This window comes from Homo sapiens, chromosome 3 (assembly GCF_000001405.40).
Source record: "Homo sapiens chromosome 3, GRCh38.p14 Primary Assembly".
NCBI lineage: Eukaryota > Metazoa > Chordata > Mammalia > Primates > Hominidae > Homo > Homo sapiens.
The window spans coordinates 193,724,723-193,746,910 of record NC_000003.12 but is presented as its reverse complement, the minus strand read 5'-3'; the positions used below and the strand labels follow the sequence as shown (position 1 = coordinate 193,746,910).

General features: G+C 44.5%; 1 pseudogene, besides 3 other annotated features; it reads left to right on the top strand.

The window, feature by feature from the left end:
- Positions 3,982-4,031: an enhancer, noted in NCBI's record as "active region_21007". NCBI's record gives its function as "activates an Ori minimal core promoter by ATAC-STARR-seq in GM12878 lymphoblastoid cells {active_cell/tissue: GM12878}" and the evidence as "EXISTENCE:reporter gene assay evidence [ECO:0000049][PMID:35858748]".
- Positions 4,082-4,131: an enhancer, noted in NCBI's record as "active region_21006". NCBI's record gives its function as "activates an Ori minimal core promoter by ATAC-STARR-seq in GM12878 lymphoblastoid cells {active_cell/tissue: GM12878}" and the evidence as "EXISTENCE:reporter gene assay evidence [ECO:0000049][PMID:35858748]".
- Positions 4,152-4,201: an enhancer, noted in NCBI's record as "active region_21005". NCBI's record gives its function as "activates an Ori minimal core promoter by ATAC-STARR-seq in GM12878 lymphoblastoid cells {active_cell/tissue: GM12878}" and the evidence as "EXISTENCE:reporter gene assay evidence [ECO:0000049][PMID:35858748]".
- On the top strand, positions 6,196-6,440 carry RN7SL447P (RNA, 7SL, cytoplasmic 447, pseudogene; annotated as a pseudogene).

The window sequence follows — 22,188 nt, the reverse complement described above, 5'->3', positions numbered from 1 at the left end:
CCCTTGTGCTATATCGAATGTGAGTCTCATTTTCTCCCTTAACATATTCCCTCTCTAAAGCCTTCCAGAAATATGCATTTTTAATGGTTGCATGATACTCCTTATTTTGTTAACAGATCCCTTATTACTGAACACTAATGCTGTTCTCAATTTTTCAATGTTATAAACGACATTAGGACAATATCTCTGTGTTATCATCCTTGACAGTTTTTCAGGATTTTGCCTTGAGAGAGAAATGTCTCCTCTTGATTTTTGATCTTGGAGGAAAATCTTGGACAGTGAACTAGCTGAAAATGTGTAGATGAGAATGTACCTGAGAGGAGGTCAGTAGAACCTGAGATACAGGCTGAGAGTGGCAAGGAGAGCGGGGGAAGGGGAGCAGCCTGGGAGGGCTTCAGGAGAAAGAGGAGCATGTGCAGAGTGGGCCCAGGGGAGAGCAGAGAGAAACATAGTGCCAGGCCCGGCCCAGAACAGAGGTTAGGAGTATAGGAAAGCCACCATGTTCCTTGCGGCTGGGCAGATTTGATCTCTCTGTGCCTCAGTTTCCTCATCTTTAAAATGAGCTTAGAAATAGAACTTAACTCTGTGACCCATTTTTTTTTTCCTTTTTGGAGACAGGGCATCACTCTGTCGCCCAGGCAAGAGTGTAGTGGCGTGAACATAGCTCACTGTAGCCTTGAATTCCTAGGCTCAAGTCATCCTCCCACCTCAGCCTCCCAAGCAGCTGAGACTACAAGTGTGCACCACCATGCCTAGCTAATTTGTGTATTTTTTGTAGAGACAGGGTCTCGCTATGTTGTCCAGGCTGGTCTTGAACTTCTGAGTTCAAGCAATCCTCCCGCCTTTGCCTTCCAAAGTGTTGGGATTACAGGTGTGAGCCACTGCGCCCAGCTTATGTAGATGAATACCTGTAAGCACATAGAAAATTACCCGGCAATACATGTTTGGTAAATAAAAGTGAATGATGGCGAGGCACAGTGGCTCATACCTGTAATCCCAGCACTTTGGGAGGCTGAGGTGGGTAGATCACTTGAGGCCAGGAGTTTGAGATCACCCTGGCCAGCATGGTGAAACCCCATCTCTACTAAAAATACAAAAATTAACCAGGCATGGTGGCACACACCTGTAGTCCCAGCTACTCGAGAGGCTGAGGCAAGAGAATCACTTGAACCCAGGAGGCAGAGGTTGCAGTGGGCCGAAATCATGCCACTGCGCTTTAGCCTGGGTGACAGAGCAAGACGCTATCTCAGAAAAGTGAATGAGGCTTCTGGGTGGAGCCTAAGACAGACAGCACCAAAGTAGGAAATTCTTGCTTAAGAGCACAAAAAATGGAGGCCGCGTTTCCCCTCATGAGGGAAAGTGAGTGGCAATGTTGCCTGAAGCCAGCCTTCCAACAGGGCAAATGCTGCTGGTCTGGTTGGGAAGCCAGCTGCCCTTTATCTCCCTCTGGCCAGTATCTGAAATCAGCTGTGAGAGAGAAATGCAGAACACTAGGAGATAGGAGCAGGCCGCTTTCCTCTTCCATCGGCTCTTCCGGGGCACCAGTCACTGCTTATTAAGCAGTTTATGTCATTAAGCATCTCCCTGGGGGAGCTGGAGAGCCACAGCACAGTGTAGATAATGAAGATCTATTGCATAAGCAGAAAAAGTTCAATGGAAAATGCCTCCTTCTGCGCTCCCTGGCTGCCCTCACTTGAGCCCTGTCTCCTTTTTATTAGCAGCGTGAGAGGATTCAACATTGTTTTTATTTTCTCACTCCTTGTGGGGAAAGACATTGATCCAGGCTTAAGAAGTCTTTCTGCGTCTGTTTCTTTAAACTAAGAATTGGGTTTCACTCTGGGCTAACTGTTCCTTTAGGTACAAGCTGAATGGCTCCCATTGCCAAGGTGAGCCCCAGACACATTTCTGACACAGCTCACTTCCTTTTTAGGGCCCCTAAAGTCAAGGTTAGTGCCTGCTCTCAAGCCCCTCAGGCCAAGGAGACCTGCCCTCAGAAATAAGATGTCTTGAATGGGAACAAAGAGCTCTATCATGCCCTTGGTTTCTTCATGTTTAAAATGCAGAGCAAAGGAGTACATGAGGTCAAGAGCCTTCTAGTCTGAACCTTCTGTGGAGTGGAAGGACACTAATGGGCCAGACAGCTTCTAGATGCAAGGCGGGCTCAGGCCTGGGTGAGGTCAGGACGGGAGACACGGAGAGGAACAAGTTACCTAGCCTCAGCCAGCAGAGTCCCGGGCCAGCCTCACAGCGACGGGAGGTGATTTTGTCACGTTCACTGACCTCTGACTCTTTCCTCAAGGAAGGGTTTGTGTCATGAGTGAACAGAGACAGGTGAAAAGCCCCCTCTAATTTCTAGCACACAGTCCTGCAAGCCTCTGCAGGAAGGAGTTGGGAGCTCTGCGTTTCCCTCTCGTTGGCCTCCTGCCTGCCTGTCTGCCCTGGACCTTGCTTACCAGCTTATCCAAGCTGCATGGAGGTTCAGGGGTGCCATCTGGGTCTCCTCAGCCCAAATATGGGACTTTCAAAATCTCCCCCCAACACAAACACACCCTGCTGTGTTGATTCCGTTCCCGTACTCTCCACTCCATCTCTTCCCATCCACCTTCATATTTGCTCTTAGAACCAGAGCCTGTGACCACGTGAGATACTGTATTGCAGTCACCTGGAGTTTGCTTTACAGGAAAAGTAAACGCCCCCTCCCCTTTTCCTCCTAGTCTCTTTGGTTTAGAAGGATGATGTCATCTGAATAACAGCCTGAAGTAAATGATTAGGAAAAGTGCCCTTCTCTTGAACCCTGTGGACACCATCTAGCTCTGAGACAGAGATTCAGTTAGAAATGCTGCAGCTGGAAAACAATTCACACACCATGCCCATGAAGTGTGTGAAGCTCTGGAAGAAAAGACACGAAGAGGATATTTACGATTGGGGAAGGAAGCATAGCGTGGTACACCTGAATCAGGAGGACTGTGAAGGGCGGCAGTGAGGAGTGAAACCAGAGCCTGAAATTGCCACACTTCCTCCGTGTCTGACTCGGTGCTTCTCAAACTGAGCATTTTCAACATCTTTGACAAAACAATTCAGCCACGGAGGGGAGTCTTGCGCATTGTAGGATGTTTAAGCCAGAATTCCTGGCCTCCACCCACTACATGCCAGAAGTAACTTACCCCAACCAAGATGAGATTAGCCACTGGCATGAAGGAAATAAAATATTAGAACTTCTATGTATTTTTATTTGATTACAAAACATAGAATTTAAGTTTTATTAACATTGATGATGCCCAGACATAATCCAAGACATGTCAGTGAGATGTCTATAACTTAGACAGGTAGACGGAGAAACCCTCATCTGCTCTATCATTCTGAGCTTATTACAGGGCATTGTAGTTCATATTTGTCCAATTAGGTTGGATTCAGTAATTATTTTAAATGGGAGATGGCAAGTAACTGTGAAGATTCTATAAGTCATCTCATGGCAAGGAACTTAGGTACACATTTTTCTCTTACAAAAAACCCCACAAATTATTATAACTTTGCTATTCGTTTGGTGATAGGTAGCTGCCAGTAGTATGCTACCTAGTAGATATTTTTAATATACCCATAATCCATCCTTTCAAAATAAAGGTGACATTTAACAATGAGTGAAAAAGTGACTACGTTTAGAAAGAAACTCGTGCTATGGTATTTCTGGCAAATGACCAGAGAGCCTGAAAAGCCCTCCTGAGATAAAGCATACAGATATTCTGGATAAAATATTACAGGAATACTTTTAGATTCAGAGCTGAGCTGACCTGGAAGTAAGGGAAGTCACCAGGTGCCAAACTGAAGAGGGAGTTCGTGCTGAACCAAAGCTATCCTGAGAGCATCTGCCAATCGCTGAAACAAGCTGGAGTTTTAATGGCCTTGCAGGGAACAGAAGACTAGATATTCAGCCTGAATAAGCTGGAAAATTGGAACTGAGACCCCTAATAAAGTAAGAAGCCTGAAAAGCTACAGTCTCAGTAAAAGGATTTACTGTCCACTGGTAAAGGAAGGTGAAAATGAAACTTATCTGCACAAGGAATTAAATTCACACATTTTTTGTTGACTGGAAACCCCCAGCGGAAGAGTTAACTTAAAAATGGTCTCGTGTTATACCATTACAGGGCCACCTGGCAGAGAAGCAAATGCGTATTCTCTCTGTAAGGATGCACTCAAAACCCAGACCTCATGGGTTCCCACGAATAAACCCAGCTGAACAGTCAAAACCCAGCTCACAGTCAAAATTTTTAAACACATGAAAAACCCAGCCACCACCAATAAGAATCAGAAGAAACAAAAAAAAAGCAGAATTAAATTCCCAGCGACTTCATATATATGAACTATGGAACACAGAATTAAAAATAATTATGTTTTAAGGAAGTAAAAAGAAATGTTTTCAGAAATAAAAGAGGGAATCAAAATACATGAGCAAGGAATAAAATAATCTCAAAAGGGCCCAGGCATTTGTAGAAAACAACCAGAAAGAATTTTAAACATGAGAAATCATAGTTATTATAATTAAAAACTAAGCAGATGAGGAAAAACCTAAATGAAACATGAAGTTAGGCACAGTTGAAGAAAGAATTTGTGAACTCAAAGATAGATCTAATACACACACACACACACACACACACACACACACACACTTTTTTTTTTTTAAGAGATGAGGTCTCGCTAAGTTGCCCAGGCTTAAGTGCAGTGGCTATTCACAGACATGATTATAACACACTACAGCCTCAAACTTCTGAGCTCAAGTAATCCTCCTGTCTCAGCCTCTCAAATATCTGGGGCTAAAGGTGTGTGCCACTGTGCCCAGCTGGTTTTGAAAAACACAGAAAAACAAAGTGCAAAAGAAAAATAATTGTCAATCAAGACTTATAAACCCAACTAAGATATCACTGAAGAAAAAGACTAAGATAAAGACATTTGCAGGCAAATAAAAACTGAGAAATTTTGCCATCAACAGATTCTTACTAAAGGAATTTCTAAAAAGAAGTACTTCAGAGGAAGAAAACAAAATTGCCGGAAAGTTCTGAGCTGCAGGAAAGAATGATTTTTACTTAGAATAAGAATTTTCCATTGCTTCCTAATTATTAGGTTTATATATAAATTTGTGTTACTTTAACCATTTAAATGCAGTGTTAAGATTTGAAAATAAATGTTAGAAGTTAAGGGTCTTTTGGTTTTTTTTTTTTTTTTTGACATTTATCCATTAAAGTCCTATTAAAATTTAGGCCTTTAAAAAAGGAAGGAAGAAAAGAAGCAAAAATAGACCCCAAAAAAATGCATGAGGATATCATTACAAAACAAATGTTTGTTTTAAATAAAAGGCATATAGATTAGGAAGGAAGAAATAAAACTGTCTTCATTTACAAATTACATGATTGTCCATGTAGAAAATCTAAGAGAACTGACAAAACAAACAATACACCTCCTAGAACTAATAAGTAGTTATAGTGAAGTTGCAGGATACAAGATTAATATATAAAGGTGAATCATGGCTGGGCACGGTGGCTCACACCTGTAATCCCAGCACTTTGGGAGGCCGAGGCAAGCGGATCACCTGAGGTCAGGAGTTCGAGACCAGCCTGGCCAACATGGTGAAACCCCATCTCTACTAAAAATACAAAAATTAGCTGGGTGTGGTGGCGGGCGCCTGTAATCCTAGTTACTTGGGAGGCTGAGGCAGGAGAATGGCTTGAACCCAGGAGGCAGAGGTTGCAGTGAGCCGAGATTGTGCCACTGCATTGCAGCCTAGGTGACAAGAGCGAGACTGTCTCACAAAAAAACAAAAACAAAACAAACAAACAAAAAAAAGTGAATTACATTCCTATATACCAACAATAAACAATTGGAACTTGAAGTTAAAAATAAAATACATTTATACAATATTAGCACACCTCAAAATGAAATACTTAGGTATAAATCTAACAACATGTATAAAGATATACAGAAGGAAAACTACGAAACTCCAACTAAATAAATAGAGAGATATTTTACATTCACGGATAGGTGGACTCGATATTGTAAGATGTCAGTTCTTCCCAACAATATCGAAGGAAAACAAAGTCAGAGGACTGACTGCCCAGTTTCAAGGCTCAGCATAAAGCTACAGTAATAGAGACAGTGTGGCATTGGCAAAAGAATAGAAGAATAGACAAATAGATCAATGAAACAGAATAGACAGCCCAGAAATAGATCTTCACGGATCACTTGAGCCCCAGAGATCCGGGCTGTAGTGCACTATGCCAATTGGGTGTCCACACTAAGTTCAGCATCAATATGGTGACCTCCAGGTTGCCTAAGGAGGGGTGAACTGGCTGAAGTCAGAAAACACAAGTCAAAACTCCTGTGCTGATGAGTAGTGGAATCGCACCTGTGAAGAGCCACTACGCTCCAGTCTGGCTGGAGCCTGTCTTCTTAAAAAAAAAAAAAAAAAAGGAATAGACCCTCATAAATATTGTCAACTCATCTTTTGACAAAGGACCAACGGCAATACAAAGAAAATACAGTCTTTTCAACAAATCGTGCTGGAACAATTGGACATCCACATGTTAAAAAAAATGATTCTAGGCACACTCTTTACATCCTTCACAAAAAATTAACACAAAATAGATTACAGACCTAAATGTAAAATGCAAAACTATAAAACTCCTGGAAGATAACATAGGAGAAAATCTAGATGGTCCTGAGTTTAGTGATAACTTTTTAGACACCAAAGGCACAACCCATGAAAGAAAGAATTGAAAAGGTGGACTTCGTTCGATTAGAAATTTCTGCTTTGTAAAAGACATCAAGAAAATGAGGGGGAAAAATCCACAGACAGAGAAAACAATATTTACAAAAGACACATCTGATAGAGGACTGTTTTCCAAAACATACAAATAACCTTTAAAGCTCAACAATAAGAAAACAGCCCAATTAAAGAATGGGCAAACGACCTGAATGGACACCTCACCAAAGAAGATATACAGATGGCAAATAAGCATATGAAAAGATGTTCAATATCATGCATCATTAGAGAATTGCAAATTTTAAAAAAGGGACACCACCACCCACCTATAAGAACGACAACCATTAGAAACACCGACACCAGGAAACCGTGGTGAGGCTGTGGAGCAACAAGAACTGTCCCTAATTACTGGCAATAATATGAAACGGTACAGCCACTTTGTAAGACAATACGGCACTTTTTTACACAGCTAAATATAATTTTACCCTACCATCCAGGAATAGCATTTCTTGAATTCAAATGAGTTGAAAACTTATGTTCACACAAAAACCTGCACATGAATGTTTAGAGCAACCTTATTCATAATTGCCAAAACTTGGAAGCAACCAGGATGTCCCTCGATAGGTGAATGGACAAATAAACGGTGGTATATCAAGACAATGCAATGCTATTATTCAGTGATAAAAATAAGTGAGCTATTAAGTCACAAAAAGATATGATGGAACTTTTGATGAATATTGCTATTTGAATAAAGCCAGTCAGAAAAGGCTACATATTGTATGATCCCACCATATGACATTCTGGAAAAGGCAAAGCTATAGAGACAGTGAAAAGATCTGTGGTGGCCAAGGATTTGGAGGGGGCAAGGATGAATAAGCAGAGCACAGAGGATTGTTAGGGCAGCGAGACTATTCTGCACCAAACTGTAATGACGGATACAGTGTGCAGTTTTCAAACTCATAGCGCTGACAACATCAAGAGTGAGCTCTTTTTTTTTTATTATTATTATTATACTTTAAGTTTTAGGGTACATGTGCACAACGTGCAGATTTGTTACATGTGTATACATGTGCCATGTTGGTGTGCTGCGCCCATTAACTCGTCATTTAACATTAGGTATATCTCCTAATGCTCTCCCTCCCCCGACCCCACAACAGGCCCTGGTGTGTGATGTTCCCCTTCCTGTGTCCGTGTGTTCTCATTGTTCAATTCCCACCTATGAGTGAGAACAAGAGGTGTAAACTAGGGACTTTAGTTAATAATGATGTATCAATATAGTTCATCAGTTGTAACAAAATTTACCAAACTATGTAAGATGTTAATAAGACAGGGGAGATTGGAGTAGGGGTATATGAGAAATCTTTACTTTCTGTTCATTTTTTCTGTAAATTTAAAACGGTTCTAGAAAATAAATAATTAATAATAATTAGAAAAAAAAAAAAGCTTGGTCAGGCATGGTGGCTCACGCCTGTAATCCCAGCACTTTGGGAGGCCAAGGCAGGAGGATCACCTGGGGTCAGGAGTTCGAGACCAGCCTGGGCAATATGGTGAAACCCAGTCCCTACTAAAAATACAAAAATCAGCCAGGCATGATGACACGTGCCTGTAATCGCAACTACTTGAGAGGTTGAGGCAGAATTGCTTGAACCCGGGAGGTGGAGGTTGCAGTGAGCTGAGATCGTGCCGCTGCACTCCAGCCTGGGCAACAGAACAAGACCCTGTCTCAAAAATAAAAATAACAATAAAAATTATACTAAACTGTAATAAAACATGAGTTTAGCGAGTTTATAATATACAAGATCAACATACAAAAATCAATTGTAAAAAAAAAAAGATGTCTAGAACAGGTAAATATTCAGTAAGTGGTAGTATTCTAATAGTAAACAAGAAGTTGTGCCGACCCTCAGGCTGTTGGGAAGCGTTCTGGCTTGGTAAATCTCAGCGTGGCCACTCACTCACTGTTGTCTTGGATAACTTCATTCCTTTTCCCTTCGGCCCCAGCATCCTTGTCTGGAAAAGACAAGACTTGGATCAGATGCTTGTGCCCAGTTCTGACATTCGAAGAGGCTATTCATTAAAGGATATTTCTATGATAAATGATTCAAGAAATGTTGTCACTTGATCTCCCTCAGAGAACAGCCAAATTATGTTAAAATGTAACAGAAAATAACCAGAAGAAAAAACTTCCTTCTCATTTCTAGGAAAGGCGCTAGAATTCTTGGTGAAATCTAATAAAGACAAAAATGATTCACTCTTTCAACATATTCAAGAAGGAAAAAAGAAAGTGCAGAAGAGGGGGAGGGAAAAAACATAAATTTCCAGGTCGATTCCACCTGTTTCAGCTGGCAGCTGGGTGGGGGCGCTGGGACACTTGACCTCGATGTATCTTCTGAACAAAGTGGGAGGGGAGGGCCTCCTGCCATCTTTTGTCATCAGGCAGGCCAAGCCTGGCTAATGGGAACTGTCACCTGGGCCTTTCCAGGTCAGAAACGAAGAACAGCAATTAACTCCTCCAGGAGGCCTGCGGCCTGGAGTAAGCCCTGCCCGGCCAGGTAGCTAAATCATTAAAGACACAGTTCTTTTCAGTGATAAATTGTGCAGGCGCGTGAAACCCGCTGCTGGCCATTAATCTGGGCTAATCAGGTTGAAAGCTGGGTTGTTTTCTTTAGTAATTAACGGGTTATGTGAAAAACATGATCCATGGCCTGGGGTGCATCTATAGAGCACAGTCCAGGAGGAGAGAATGAGGAACGGCAGGAATTCTCTGGAGAGCCACTCGGGCCTGTGCAATTACAGCGATTGGCAAATGCTGAAAAATGACCCTGGGCTTGTATTGACACCCAGGAAAGAAACATTCCTGCCAACAGCGCGGGAGGAGTCTTGAAGGCCGATAATTGCTCTCTCCCTCCCGCCCCTTGCAGCGGCCTGCGAAGCTATTCCCAAAGTTGCAGGGATGCACGGTGATTTTGCAGGGGGCACACACTGCTCCCTATGGTTGTGGACAGCCTGTGTTTGAAAGTAGGCTGGATGGAGAGTGGTGCTGTTTGCAAAAATGGGGGTCCCAAAAGAAAGAGAGGGACAGTAAGGGTGGGAGAGATGAATGATTTCCTTCTGAACACATTGAGATGGAGGTGCTCAGACATGGCCAAGACAGGATGACCAATTGGTGACCAGATGGATGGATGGATGTGCAGCTCAGGAGCTGAACAAGAGGCTGAGGCTTGAGCTATGAGCAGAGCGGGGGCCTGTGATGCCGCGGAGAGGGCCAGTCCCGCAGGAGAGTGTATGTGCAGAGTAAAGGAAGGAAGGACACACTCAGCACCCTGTGGGTGGCCAGGCCATAGATCAGAGCCTATACCCTATACAGTGCCCAGCCCCCTGCTATGGTCCTGCTGACGCTCTGCTACATGAGCCACCGGACTGAGCCCTGCCTGTTCCACCTGCTAATCGGCCCCAGCATCTCATCTTCCTTCTCCAGGGCCTGCACGCCACACCAGGGGCACCACCATCTCTGTGGCAGTCTGCCACAAATGTAACATTACAGGTCAGCCGGCTTCCCTTCTTACCACCTTTGCTCTGATCTCCCCCATGGAGCCAGGAGGATCTTCCTAAAACCCTTGAGATGCTCCAGCACAATTTAAAGATAAAATCAAAATGATTAACCAGGTTGACCAGGTCTGGCATGAAGTCAGAATGCTGCCTGCTTCTCCAGCTTCCTCTTGGCTAGCTCCTCTCCCATCACCCTCAGAGGCACAGCCATACTAACCTTCACTTACTTCTTCAAATGTGCCATGTCCACACATACACACACATACCCTCCTCTCAGCATCCTCTCTCCTCACTCCCCTCCACATTAGATCCTACTGCAGAAATGTCCCCTCTTCCAGGAACACTTGCCTGGCTTCTCAAGCTGGGTTAGGAGCCTTCCTCTCAGGTGCTACAGCTGTGTGCTTTCAGGGCACTTGTCACTTTGTGGTCCTTATCAGCTTCCTTCCCTCAATCTCCCTCCAAGCTCCATGAAGGCAAGGACCACATCCACATCCATATTGTTGTTTACTGTTGCATTTGCAGCTCCTAAAATAGTTCCTGGCACATAGTAGGTGGTCAATAAAACTTGTTGCATGAATGAATGAAAAAGTTCATTGAGTCAGAAAACCTCTTGAAGGGCATTGAATCTCAACCCCACAAATAAGAAAAGTGACCCTGGAGAAGGCTGATAACTCATTGGGTCACAAGGCAAATTGGTGACAGGCAGGAAGGAAATGTGGGTCTCCTGACATGGCCCAGGGATCTCTCCAGAAAACTACACTACATCTCGATTCACATCCGCCACCATTCACATCTTTGAAAAATGTATTATTGAAATTTTTTATGGAAGCCCTTGACCTTTTGATCAATATAAGCAATTTCTCCAGATAAGCAGCCTATTTCTATAGGTGGGAATATCTGGCATTTCCATATAACATCAATGACAAGAATCAATTTAAGGAACACCTAAATATTTGTGTTATGCTCTAGGATTCCTTGGAGGCAGTTTAGTTGAAGGTAGGAGTGAGGGTTTCAGAGTCAGAAAAACCTGGGCTTAAATTCTGACCCAGTCATTTATTAGTTGTATAATTTGGGGCAATTTACTAGACCTCCCTGTGCCTTAATTTTTTCATCTATAAAATGTGGGTGATCATAATACTGACCTAGTAAATGATTGTGAAAACAAATGAGATGCTAATAATAATAGGAGATAATGTTTATTAAGTACTAGATACTATGCTAAGTGCTTAATCTGTCTTATTTCATTCACTCTCTGAACAACATAGTATTCTTATGCTTCTCCCCATTTTATAGATGAAAAACAGTTTGGCACAGGAGGGTTCGGTAAACTGCCCAAGGTCACAGTGTCAGGAGGTAGAAGAACTAGAATCGGGACATGGGCCATCTGGCTCACGTTAAACCACTGCACTGGCCTGATGTATTTCCTGCGAAGCCCAGGGGCTGACCGTGTGTGCCATTGTGTTACCTGGAATGTGTAGCAGCAGCACCAGAAGCAACAGTAGAAGTCACATTTTGCCAAGGTCTTGGCTTGTAGTAGGTGTTCGATAAATGGCACCTCGTAGGCCTGTTCTTAGCCTGAGGAATCTGCCCAGGAATTTGTTTTCTACCTTTTCTGTAAAAGAGACCTATGAGCCTTTATGAGGAAATCCAGGCAGCAGGAATGTTTTCCTGTGGAGCTGCTGAAGGCAAGCTGGCCTTGGAGGAACCGGTTCTCCGCAGGCCGGGAGTCCTGGCACTGGCTGGCTTCCGGGCGGTCAGCTGCCAAGACAAGACATACCGGGCCCCCAATGGTTCCATCTTCCCAGCCTGAGGCTAGGCCGTGTGCACACAAACCAGATGGAGAACCGAGTAAAAATACCCAAGGAGTGGCTGGTGCAGCCCCTGGGAGATATGTGAGCCCCTGGGAGTCTCTGTTGCCCCAGGACTGGGCACTGGATGTTGGCTGGGAGGCACACTCCAAAAGCAGCCCTCAACCCTCCTAGGCTAGCATGTCCCAGAGGGGACATCCAGCTTTCTCCTTCCTCCAGGGGAAGCCTATCACCCCTCAATGATGCCCATTTTTTGTTGGCCTTACGCTCTAGCTGAGCAAGGGAAGGTAGCAGCCAGTCACATCCCACTTGACAGGAACACCAATGACAGCAGTTCATGGCAAAATGGGAACCACCGAGCCCGGAAGATGGAAGGATGCTTGCTTGGAGACCTCCTGTGAAGGCAGGTGTTGTTATAGCACTAAGGTTGAGAGCCTGAACCCTGGAGGCATCCTCCCCCAGGTTTGAATCCAGGCTCTCCCTCTTACTAGATTTGTGACCTTTGGCTGTTTCTTAACTTCCCTGAGTCTTCATTTTCTCATATGTATGAGTGGAAATAATAGTGATACCTACTTCATAGAGTTCTGTGAGTACCATACGAGATAACCCACATAAAGTATGCAGAGTGATGCTTGAGATATAGTAATTGTTCAGTAAGTGTCAACTACTTACTCTTGTGACTATAACCCGCTCATCCAGTGCAGGAATCCTCATCATGCCTGTGTGGTTAGTGTCTGCTTGGCCACTTTCAGTGATGGGAAGCTCACTTTCTTCCAAGGCTGCTATTCTGCTGCTGGACAACTCTTCTTATTCTGTGGTCCTTCCTACTCCATGCGGCAACAAAAATACACATGAGAAGTCCATACACCCTGAAATGAAAAATATCCAAGATATATTAAATGAAACAGATCAAGCTGCAGAACAACGCATGCATTAAAAAAACAGGATTTGCTCCATTCAGCCTTGAGACACCACGGTAACTAATAACAGATATTGGCCACCCTCTGTGACTGATTGGCTTCTAAGAGGAGGTAGAGTAATTGCCCTCTCATGGTGGTATTTTAGGCAGCAGGGCAGGCTGGGAGGTAACAGAGGCAAGTTTGGGTGAAGAGATTTCTGTCGATTAAATCACTTAGCTGCCTCCTAATTTATTCTCAGAAATGATCAGTCCTAGAGCTTGACCAAGGGAAAAGCTCACTAGCCTCCTACAGTGGTTTAGATCATTTTTTGAGTGAAGTTCAGGATCCAGAATTGATGGGGAGTCTTGAATCTGTCATTTAAAAATTTCCCTAAACTCTCAAGGGTTGGCCAAGCATTTCCTATAGAAAACATGATGCATGCGAATCAGGGCAATCTCAAATAATCCTTTCTTTCATGACACTCCAAGAGTCTGACTTAGTGTCTCTTGTTATCCTCGGAAGATGGCCCAGACCCACCCCCTGCACCTGCTCCCTACCCAGCCACAGGGGGAACTCATATTTCCTCTCTGCAACCACTATACCTGGAGAGGTTTGGAATAGTATTATGTAACCACTCATTAGCATAAAGAGAATGCTTGTGAGAAATACTTGTCCGATAGCATTGCTTCTGCCAGCGAAATTTCTGTGGGCTGCTGGAAGTCTGCAGATCTGGGCCATGTGACAATGCAAAGCTCTGTGATAGTCATTATTTTATCCAGTCTTACAACAAACCCATATAGTAGGCTTATTTCATCCCCATTTTACAGATGTAGAAACTGAGGCAAGGAGAGTGGGGGAAGCAACTTGCCTAAGGCCACACAGCTCCATGGTGTTAGCAGTGAGCTTATCCCAAGGTCTCTGACCGCTCATGGAATGCCCTTTCTGCTTCCCCTGGACCCTTAGGAGCTTCCTCATTCCCTTGTGTCTTTGTTCTTGATCCAGTTCTGTTACCCCCTTCAAATATCTACCATGTTTCAATACCATAGGAGAAAAAAGTCTTGTTCTAGGAAGAGAAAGGTGAAAGACAAGCAGGATGGAATAAGAAATGATAAGAAGCCCAACACAGAAGCAGCAGCAAATATAAACACAAGGCTTGTGCTTCCCATGCAAGCCCCAGGTTCTCGGAGCTGGCTCTAAGAGTCTGACTCAGAGCAAAGTGAATGTCATCCTGATGACTGTGATTCGGTCACTCTGTCCAAGGTCCAACAGAGGCCTGCTGACTAAGCTCCACGGTGGGGGGAACAAAGGAACTGTCAGGCCTGCCTGGTCCAACGATGCCAAACTGAGGCCACGCAGGGGCTGGAGAGCTCTGAAGCTGCACTTGGAAGAGGCCAGGGATGCAGTGAGATCAAGGAGGCAAGGTCACGGCCCATCACCGTTATGGCGACCTCATGCAACAGCGTCCTAAGACACAGAGGCAGGGGAGACAGGGAAACTGCACAATCCTTCTTGTGCCTCAACTTGGCTCCACTGGCCTGGGCCCCAGCATCTAAGAGAGCATTGAGGCTGCTCTGCACGTCTTCTCCTGGCTAATTTGGAGTCCTCTCTGCAGCCTCAGCCCTGGGATTATGCTGGCGGGTGGCTGGTGCCAAGGTGTGTACAGAAGGTCATGTGGGGGCTGTAGCCTCAGCCTGAGCCAAGGAGCCCCACTGAGGCCCTCCTCTTGCGCTGTGGCTGATGTAGACCCCAGATGCCACCTGCGCCTTCTCCGGAGCATTTTTCCTGCGGCCACAGCCCTGGGCAAGCCAGGGGATGGGAAAAGCATTGGCCCATCCAGCTAAACTTTATAACTGAAAACGTGTGTACAGTGGACACCCTGAGTCTGAAGTGAGGGAAGGGAATCTTTCACAAGATACAGTCTTGCTGTGCTACGAATATAAAGGAAAAGAGGTTTACAATCTCTTCTCCTTCCAAGCAGGCCTTCCTTCAGGGCTTTCGTTTCTGTATCTGTAAGACAAAGGACTGAGGGAACTTTCACATGCCTTCACTCTGCTCTGTGACTCTGTAAACCTCACACCTTGACTTCCTGTAGCCCCAGATGCAGTAGCTCCAGGTGGACACGCTTGAAATTTTATCCCAGAGGCCCCTGCTTACAGAGAGCACCTTAGCCTCAAAACCAAGAAAATCCACAGTTTTTCTCTGACAGCCTCAGGGTGTGTCCTCATGACTCCAAAATTCAGCTGCACTCAGTTACCTGGTTCATACAATAACTTAGGTAAGAGCTCCCGCAACTTTCCTTTAATTCAGCCAGAACTTTGGCCTGGAGCACCCCACAGATTCCTCTGGAAGTGCCTATTTTAGGTCCTGGTGCCAGATTCTACCTGTTTTCCAGATTCCAGCAGCTGAGGGATGTCTTTTAAAGAGATATTCAAAAACTTTTAAAAATACCTGAGATGAGGCAATGTGAGCAGGTACACACACCCATACGTATTTGTTCAGCAAGCTGGGCTTGTGCACCCTGTGCTGGGTACCAGGGGAACAGTCTCGTGGGGGTGCGGACAAGACAAGCAAACAGAAGTGATATCAGGGACCGATAACGTGGACATGCCCCGTGCCTGGATCGTTTGGGCATTTGGCATCACATTTGATCACAGGAGATACGGGCTGAAGATAGAAAACTCACATCCCTCATTCTCAGAGCTGGGGGAGGTCGCAGAGACCCGGCTGCTGGCCTGATGGCCCCTCACTCACTGGTCTGATCACGTGCGGCTCCCTGGGGACCCCATTGTCTGCACGGATGAGCTGGGGTTCATTTGGGAAACCCGTCCTTGGGAATGGAAAGGGAGATTTCAACCGTGGAGTTGGACTTTTGTGTTAATACAACTGTGTTTTGTTTGGGGGTTTTGTCTTTTTTCAAATAACACCACACAGAGAACCCTAAGAAAGTCCCCAGGCTGCAGCAGACAGACGCATCATTTCTTTTTATTCCATCAGTCAGGGGAAAAAAGAAAAAAAGAGAAAAGAAAGAGAAGAAAGGAAAAGAAGCCCCCTAAAGCCCCTCCCGTGTCCTTCCCATCAGCCACGTGGGTTTGCACAATTAAATCTCAATAGCTCCTTCCAGGGCTTTGTGGGGGCCATGGGCCCCATGAGGACGGTCACTCTGGCACTCAGAGTGGCTTTCCTCTCCACACGCTGCTGGGCGAGTCTCTCCCCAGACAGCTCCTTCCAGGCTGCACCTAGCCATGCCGACTCCTCTCAAGGGGTGGGTTGTGTCCCCAGGGCCAGGGAGCCCCATGCCAGGCAGCAAGCAGCCCAGGCTCCAGGGGTAAACAACTACCCACCCGAAAAGCGTGCAGAAGCAGCTGGCTGCTGGCTTCACCTGCCTTTTCAGTGGCTGCAGAGAGAGCTCATCACAGTGTTGGGTTCGTTTATAGCAGTAGCAAGGGAATTTTGTTTTTTAAATGAAAGATCTATCATAGATCAGGTACATTTGGCATAATCTAGTATTTTCTGTTTTAAAAAATTATAAATTTTCAATTTATCTAATAATCAAATTAAGAGCATGGAACTTAATAAAAGATGCATCTCTTAAATCTGAAGCTATAGTATCAAATAAATAGGCCTCAGCCCCAGTTGGTAAAGAAAGAGAGGAATTCAGATAAGCGGAAGAAGAGCAAGGGAATTCTCTGGAATGAGAAGCCCTTCCCATTTCTCCCTCCACTTCCATCTATCCTCTTCCCAGAGCAGCGTGTTCTTTCCTTTGCTCATTCTGTTCCCTTTCCACGAATCCATGGCTCCCTCCCTCAGGATCTCTCAAATCCCAATGCCTCCACAGAGCACCTTTGGATTCTGTCCCCAATGGCTCTGATGGTAACCCCTGCATCCCCATAGCCCTTGTGAATATCTGTCTATATCATCTTTTGTACCTTAGCTTTTAGCATAAGTGTTTTGCAAATCTGGCAAATACACTAAATTGCTCCTTGAGGCCAGGGATGGTGTCTGGGGTTCCCCTGCCTCCCCTACAATCACTGGCCTGTTGGTACAATTCCCTGAGTTGAACTGCAGGGCATAGCATGTGAGGCTGAGTCTCTGGGCAGGTGAAGGCAGGCTGAGTCTCTGGCTAGCTGCCACCCCTGCATCCACCAGGACATTGGCCATGCTGACTGGAAGTTTCCTCTACCACTTTGTTCAACAAATATGTATTTGTCACATGAATCTCCTCAATAAAAAATAGCTCATTTGATCTTAAAGTTGTGTATGTGTTGGTGGGGAGGGGAGGGACATGGGATGTGAACAGGCAGGTCTTACATCTGCATTTCACCTGGGTCATTTATTCATTTGGATTTGTCACTTTACTCCTTTAGTACTATTTCCTTATCTGTAAAATGGGAATGATAATAATGACACCACCCTGCCCTCTGTCCTGAGTGAGTTGAGGTCCGAATGTCTGTGAAGAACAGTTTGTAAACATATGGAATCAACGATTGCTAAGCAAGTACCCCTGGGCTGGGAAGTGCCATTCCTTAAGTCATTACTGTCAATAGTTGGAAACTGAGTTGACGATTCACAGAGTAAGACTGATTTTTTAAAGTATATATAATTATGGTCTTCCTCGTGCAAGAAGTGGGGCTGGGGCTCCATGGGGTAGGTGGGAAGGACATTCGGAAGGTGAGCAGTGCAAGTCTGCATATGAAGTGGCAACTGGTTTTCCTGAAGTCAAGGGGATATGGTGCAGGGGATGAGTGCAGGCCACAAGTAGGAGGTCGGTTTGGAAACTGGAAGACTGGGCTGTACTGCAGAGGCCTCCCACATGTAAGTGGAGCTTTTGAAGATTTTGAGCAAAGAAGTGAGGTGTTGAGATCTTTGAGTTCAGGAAGCATGGCCGGGTGCACTCAGTGAGGAAGGGAGACGCTGGGGACAGAGCAGCCCATGGGCAGGTGACTGTAGTCACTCAGTGGGGCTGTGGACTGGGCTGTGGCAACAGTGAACAGAGGGCAGGCTCACAGCCATGCTGCAGGAAGCAGCCTTTGCAGGTGACTGACTGCCTGGGATGAGGGTGCGGGATGGAGAGGGAGCAGCACCCACCACACCAAGGCTGGACCAGATGCCTCCTCTGTTATCCCAGGGTACGCTTGTCAGTGCACGCATCATAGCAGCTTGAAGCTTGTCCCCCATCCTGGACTGTACATAACACAGCAACATTATACCCCAATGCAGGTGCTAAGAAATACGTGTTGAATGAATGAGAGTGACTCAAATTTACACTCCACTTTCAAAATAAAAGCCCTTAGCCAAAGCTACTCCTTGTTTGGGAGGGAACTCAATTTTGGATTATGAGATCCCTGGATTTTTCCCTGGTTTCAGGATGGATGCAGCTCCAGGAGATTCCCTGGCTCTGCCGTGGCTCTTCCCATATAATGCAGGCCCAATGGGAACACTGGGTTACCTGGACCCCCATCCTCCTCATCACTGATAGTCATCAAGGCCAAATTTCTGGAGTGTCTACTCTGTGCCAGACTCTGGAGATGTGACAGATATTATCTTATTTAACTCAACTTCTCTTTATGGAAATCTTTTGAGTAAAGGTTTATAATCCCATTTTTTTCCAGAGGTCTTAAAACTGAAGCTTAAAAAAAAGGTTTGTAACTTTCCCAAGGCCACTCAACAAGGCATGATGGATGTAGTCACACCACAGTGAGGCCCTCGAGGATGGGCCTGGGTGTGTTCTCTACCTTACCCGCATACCTTTGCCCACACTGTGCAATTTTCAGTTTTGTTGAATGAGTGAATGAAACAACATTTTTCTGACTCCAAGCTCAAACACATTTTGAGCCTTCGTTGTCTTATCTGAAAAATGGAAATAATATGAAACTCACACACAGGCTTGGTGTGAGGTTAAAATGGGTCCTGGCAATATGTTTGGGAATCCTAGGGGTATGTAAGCCACCTTCCTTCCAAAAGTCCCCAAATCCCAGACTGCCGAGAATGCCTGCAGACACCCTTCAGACGAGGTGTGGCCTTCAGAGCTCAGCTCTCCTCCCACCAGGGCTCGTTTGTAAAGCCAGGTCTGATACTTAACACCAGCATCATCACCTGCCACCAGGCAAATGAGGAAACCTTCCATAAAAAGCTGAACAAACTCCCTTTATTTCTAATGCACCTGAAACCTGCTCACGACTCCCAGCCGCCACCCCCATCCCAACCACACCTCTCAGCTCTACCTGCTTCCAAACTCTAACCCTTTGTCAAGGAAGTCAGAGGAAGTGAAAGGTTAACTGAAAGGGGGGCGTCTTTGTTGCCAGAATAAGTTAGCGGTGGGGTTGCTGTCTCCGCCACTGCTGCTAAAGTTTCAGCTGCTGCGGCCACACAGAGCAGGGCCTTGTTCTTTCATGAAAGTTCTAGTCTTAGTTTTGTTTCAGGGATGTGGAGACTTCAGCAGGGCTTTTGTGGCCAAAGAAATCTCCTGGACAATAGGGTCACCCTCCAAAGTGTTTGCTCCACCCTGGAGGGAGAGCTGGGGCTTACAAACTGCACGGCTGCACTTGTGGACGTGGAAAGTTCCATGAGGGTCCAGGAGAAAGGGAGGAGTCTAGCCTCCACCATGCCAGCCACTTCTTAGGCCGAGTCACCATGCTCAAAGAGCACTGCCTACAGCCCTCACCTCGTGGGGCCAACATCAGCCACACCCACCCAGGGACGAGATGGGAGATCTAGACCCAGTCGAATTGCCTCACTCAGAAGCTGGCTTTTTCTGCCTGATGCAGCTAATGACCCCTCTTTGTCTAGAGTGCCAGACTGTTTTGTGACCACACACATCAAGTTTAGTAGGGAAAGTAAGGGTGGAGATGGGGTAAAACGTTACTGAGCATTAAGCTAATATCAGGTGCAGTGGGAAGCACTTTAATAATAATTTTTGTTAAGCACATACTATGTCCTAAGCATGCTATTAAGCATTATATAAATATTATTTTGTTCTGTGTTCATAATAATCTTCCAAGGAAGATAGGAATATTATCATCTTCATTTTACAGACGAGACTGCTGAGATTCAGAGGGATTGAGTGACTTGTCTAAGCTTATATAGAATATAAGTGGTGACGCTGGGACTTAAATATGGGAATTGAATCTATATCTGTACAACATAGATGCCCAAATTTTCATATTTTTTTCTTTACGGAAGTATAACTGATGTACAACGTACTATACATATTTAAAGCATACAATTAATAAGTTCCCGCATCTGTGAAACTATCATCACAAACAAGACAATGAACATATCTGTCGCCCCCAAATTTGTCTCGTGTCCCCGTAATACCTTCATCCTGTATTCAGGCAACCACGGATCTACTATCGCCATTTATCAGCTTGCACTTCCTACAATGTATGGTTCCTAGAACCATATAGTATGTACTCTTTTAAAAAAAAATGTGGCTTCTTTTACTTAGCATAATCATTTTGAGATTCACCCATGTTGTTACATGTCTCAGTGGTCCACTTTCTTTTTCTTTTTCTTTTTCTTTTAAAGACAGGTTGTCACTTTGTCACCCAGGCTGAAGTGCAGTGGTGTGATCTTGGTTCACTGCAGCCTCAGCCTCCCAGGGTCAAGTGATCATCCCACCTCAGCCTCCCCAGTAGCTGAGACTACAGGCCTGCACCACCACATCTGGCTAATTTCTTTTTTTGTATTTTTTTGTAGAGATAGTGTTTTGCCATATTGCCCAGGCTGGTCTCGAACTCCTGAGCTCAAGCCATCTGCCCACCTCCGCCTCCCAAAGTGCTGGGATTATAGGCGTGAGCCACCGCACCTGGCTGGTCCATTTCGTTTGATAGCCAAATAGTGTTCCACTGTATGAATATACCAGTTTGTTTATCTGTTTCTCTCTTGCTAGACATTTGGGATATGTCTAGTTTTTAGCTGTTACAAACAAAGCTGCTGCGCACATTTGTGTACACATCTTTGTATAAAACACATGCTTTCATTTCTCTTGGGTAGACAGGAATGAAATGGCTGGATCATATGATAGTTTTGTATTCGATGTTTTAGGAAACTTCCAATTGTGTTCCAAAGTGGTTATACCATCTCACATTTCCACCAAGAGTGTATGAAGATTCCTGTTACTCCATATCTTTGTCAACACTTGGTATGGTCGGTCTTTTAGTCCTAATAGGTGTGTAGTGGCATGTCATCTTTTCAGGTGCTTGCTTGTTATTGTAGATCTCCTTTAGCAAAACGTCTATTCAAATCTATCGCCTACATTTTTTGTTTTGTTTTGTTTCTGTGCTTGTAAATTGTGCTTTAGTTTCTGCAATCAGATAGAATGCAGTGAGATACAAGCATAAAGCTTCACTGTGCATCCAGAAAATAAAAAGCACACATATGCAGATTGAGCTGAACGGCTTATTCCCTTAATAAGAAAATAAAAAGCACACATATGCAGATTGAACTGAACGGTTTATTCCCTTAATAAGAAAATAAAAAGCACACATATGCAGATTGAGCTGAACGGCTTATTCCCTTAATAAGAAAATAAAAAGTTTTGAATTTAAAAAAGCTTGTTAATCTTCAGTGTAAAAACTTGGAGGTATAAACAGTTTCAGTTCATTATACATGGTAAATTAATATACAATTCTCAAGTTGTACAGCATAGCATTGTAAGCAAAGTAAATCGTCTCATTTCAGTTTTTACTCTTAAGCATAATCCACACCTCAACCTTAGATAAAAATTTCACAATATATAAAGCCACTGAGAATTCTGTATACAAATGCAGGTTATAGAAATCTGATTTCAAATACAACTACAAAAATTGTCACGACCTTACATGTTACAACAGCTTACTTATTTTTCAATTATAATTTTTAAAAATTATAGAAAAGAATTTCACTGTAATCCCAGCACTTCAGGAGACCGAGGCAGAAGGACTGGTTGAGCCCAGGAGTTTGAGACCAGCCTGGACAACACAGTGAGACCCTGTCTACACAAAACTGTTACAACAACAATAAAAAAAATTAGCCAGGCGTGGTGGCAAGCACCTATGGTCCCAGATACTCAGGAGGCTGAGGAGGGAGGATCGCTTGAGTTCAGGAGTTTGAGGCTGCAGTGAGCTATGATGGTATCACTGCACACCATCCTGGATGACAGAGTAAGAACTTGTCTAAGAAATTAAAAAAAACCATCTCAATG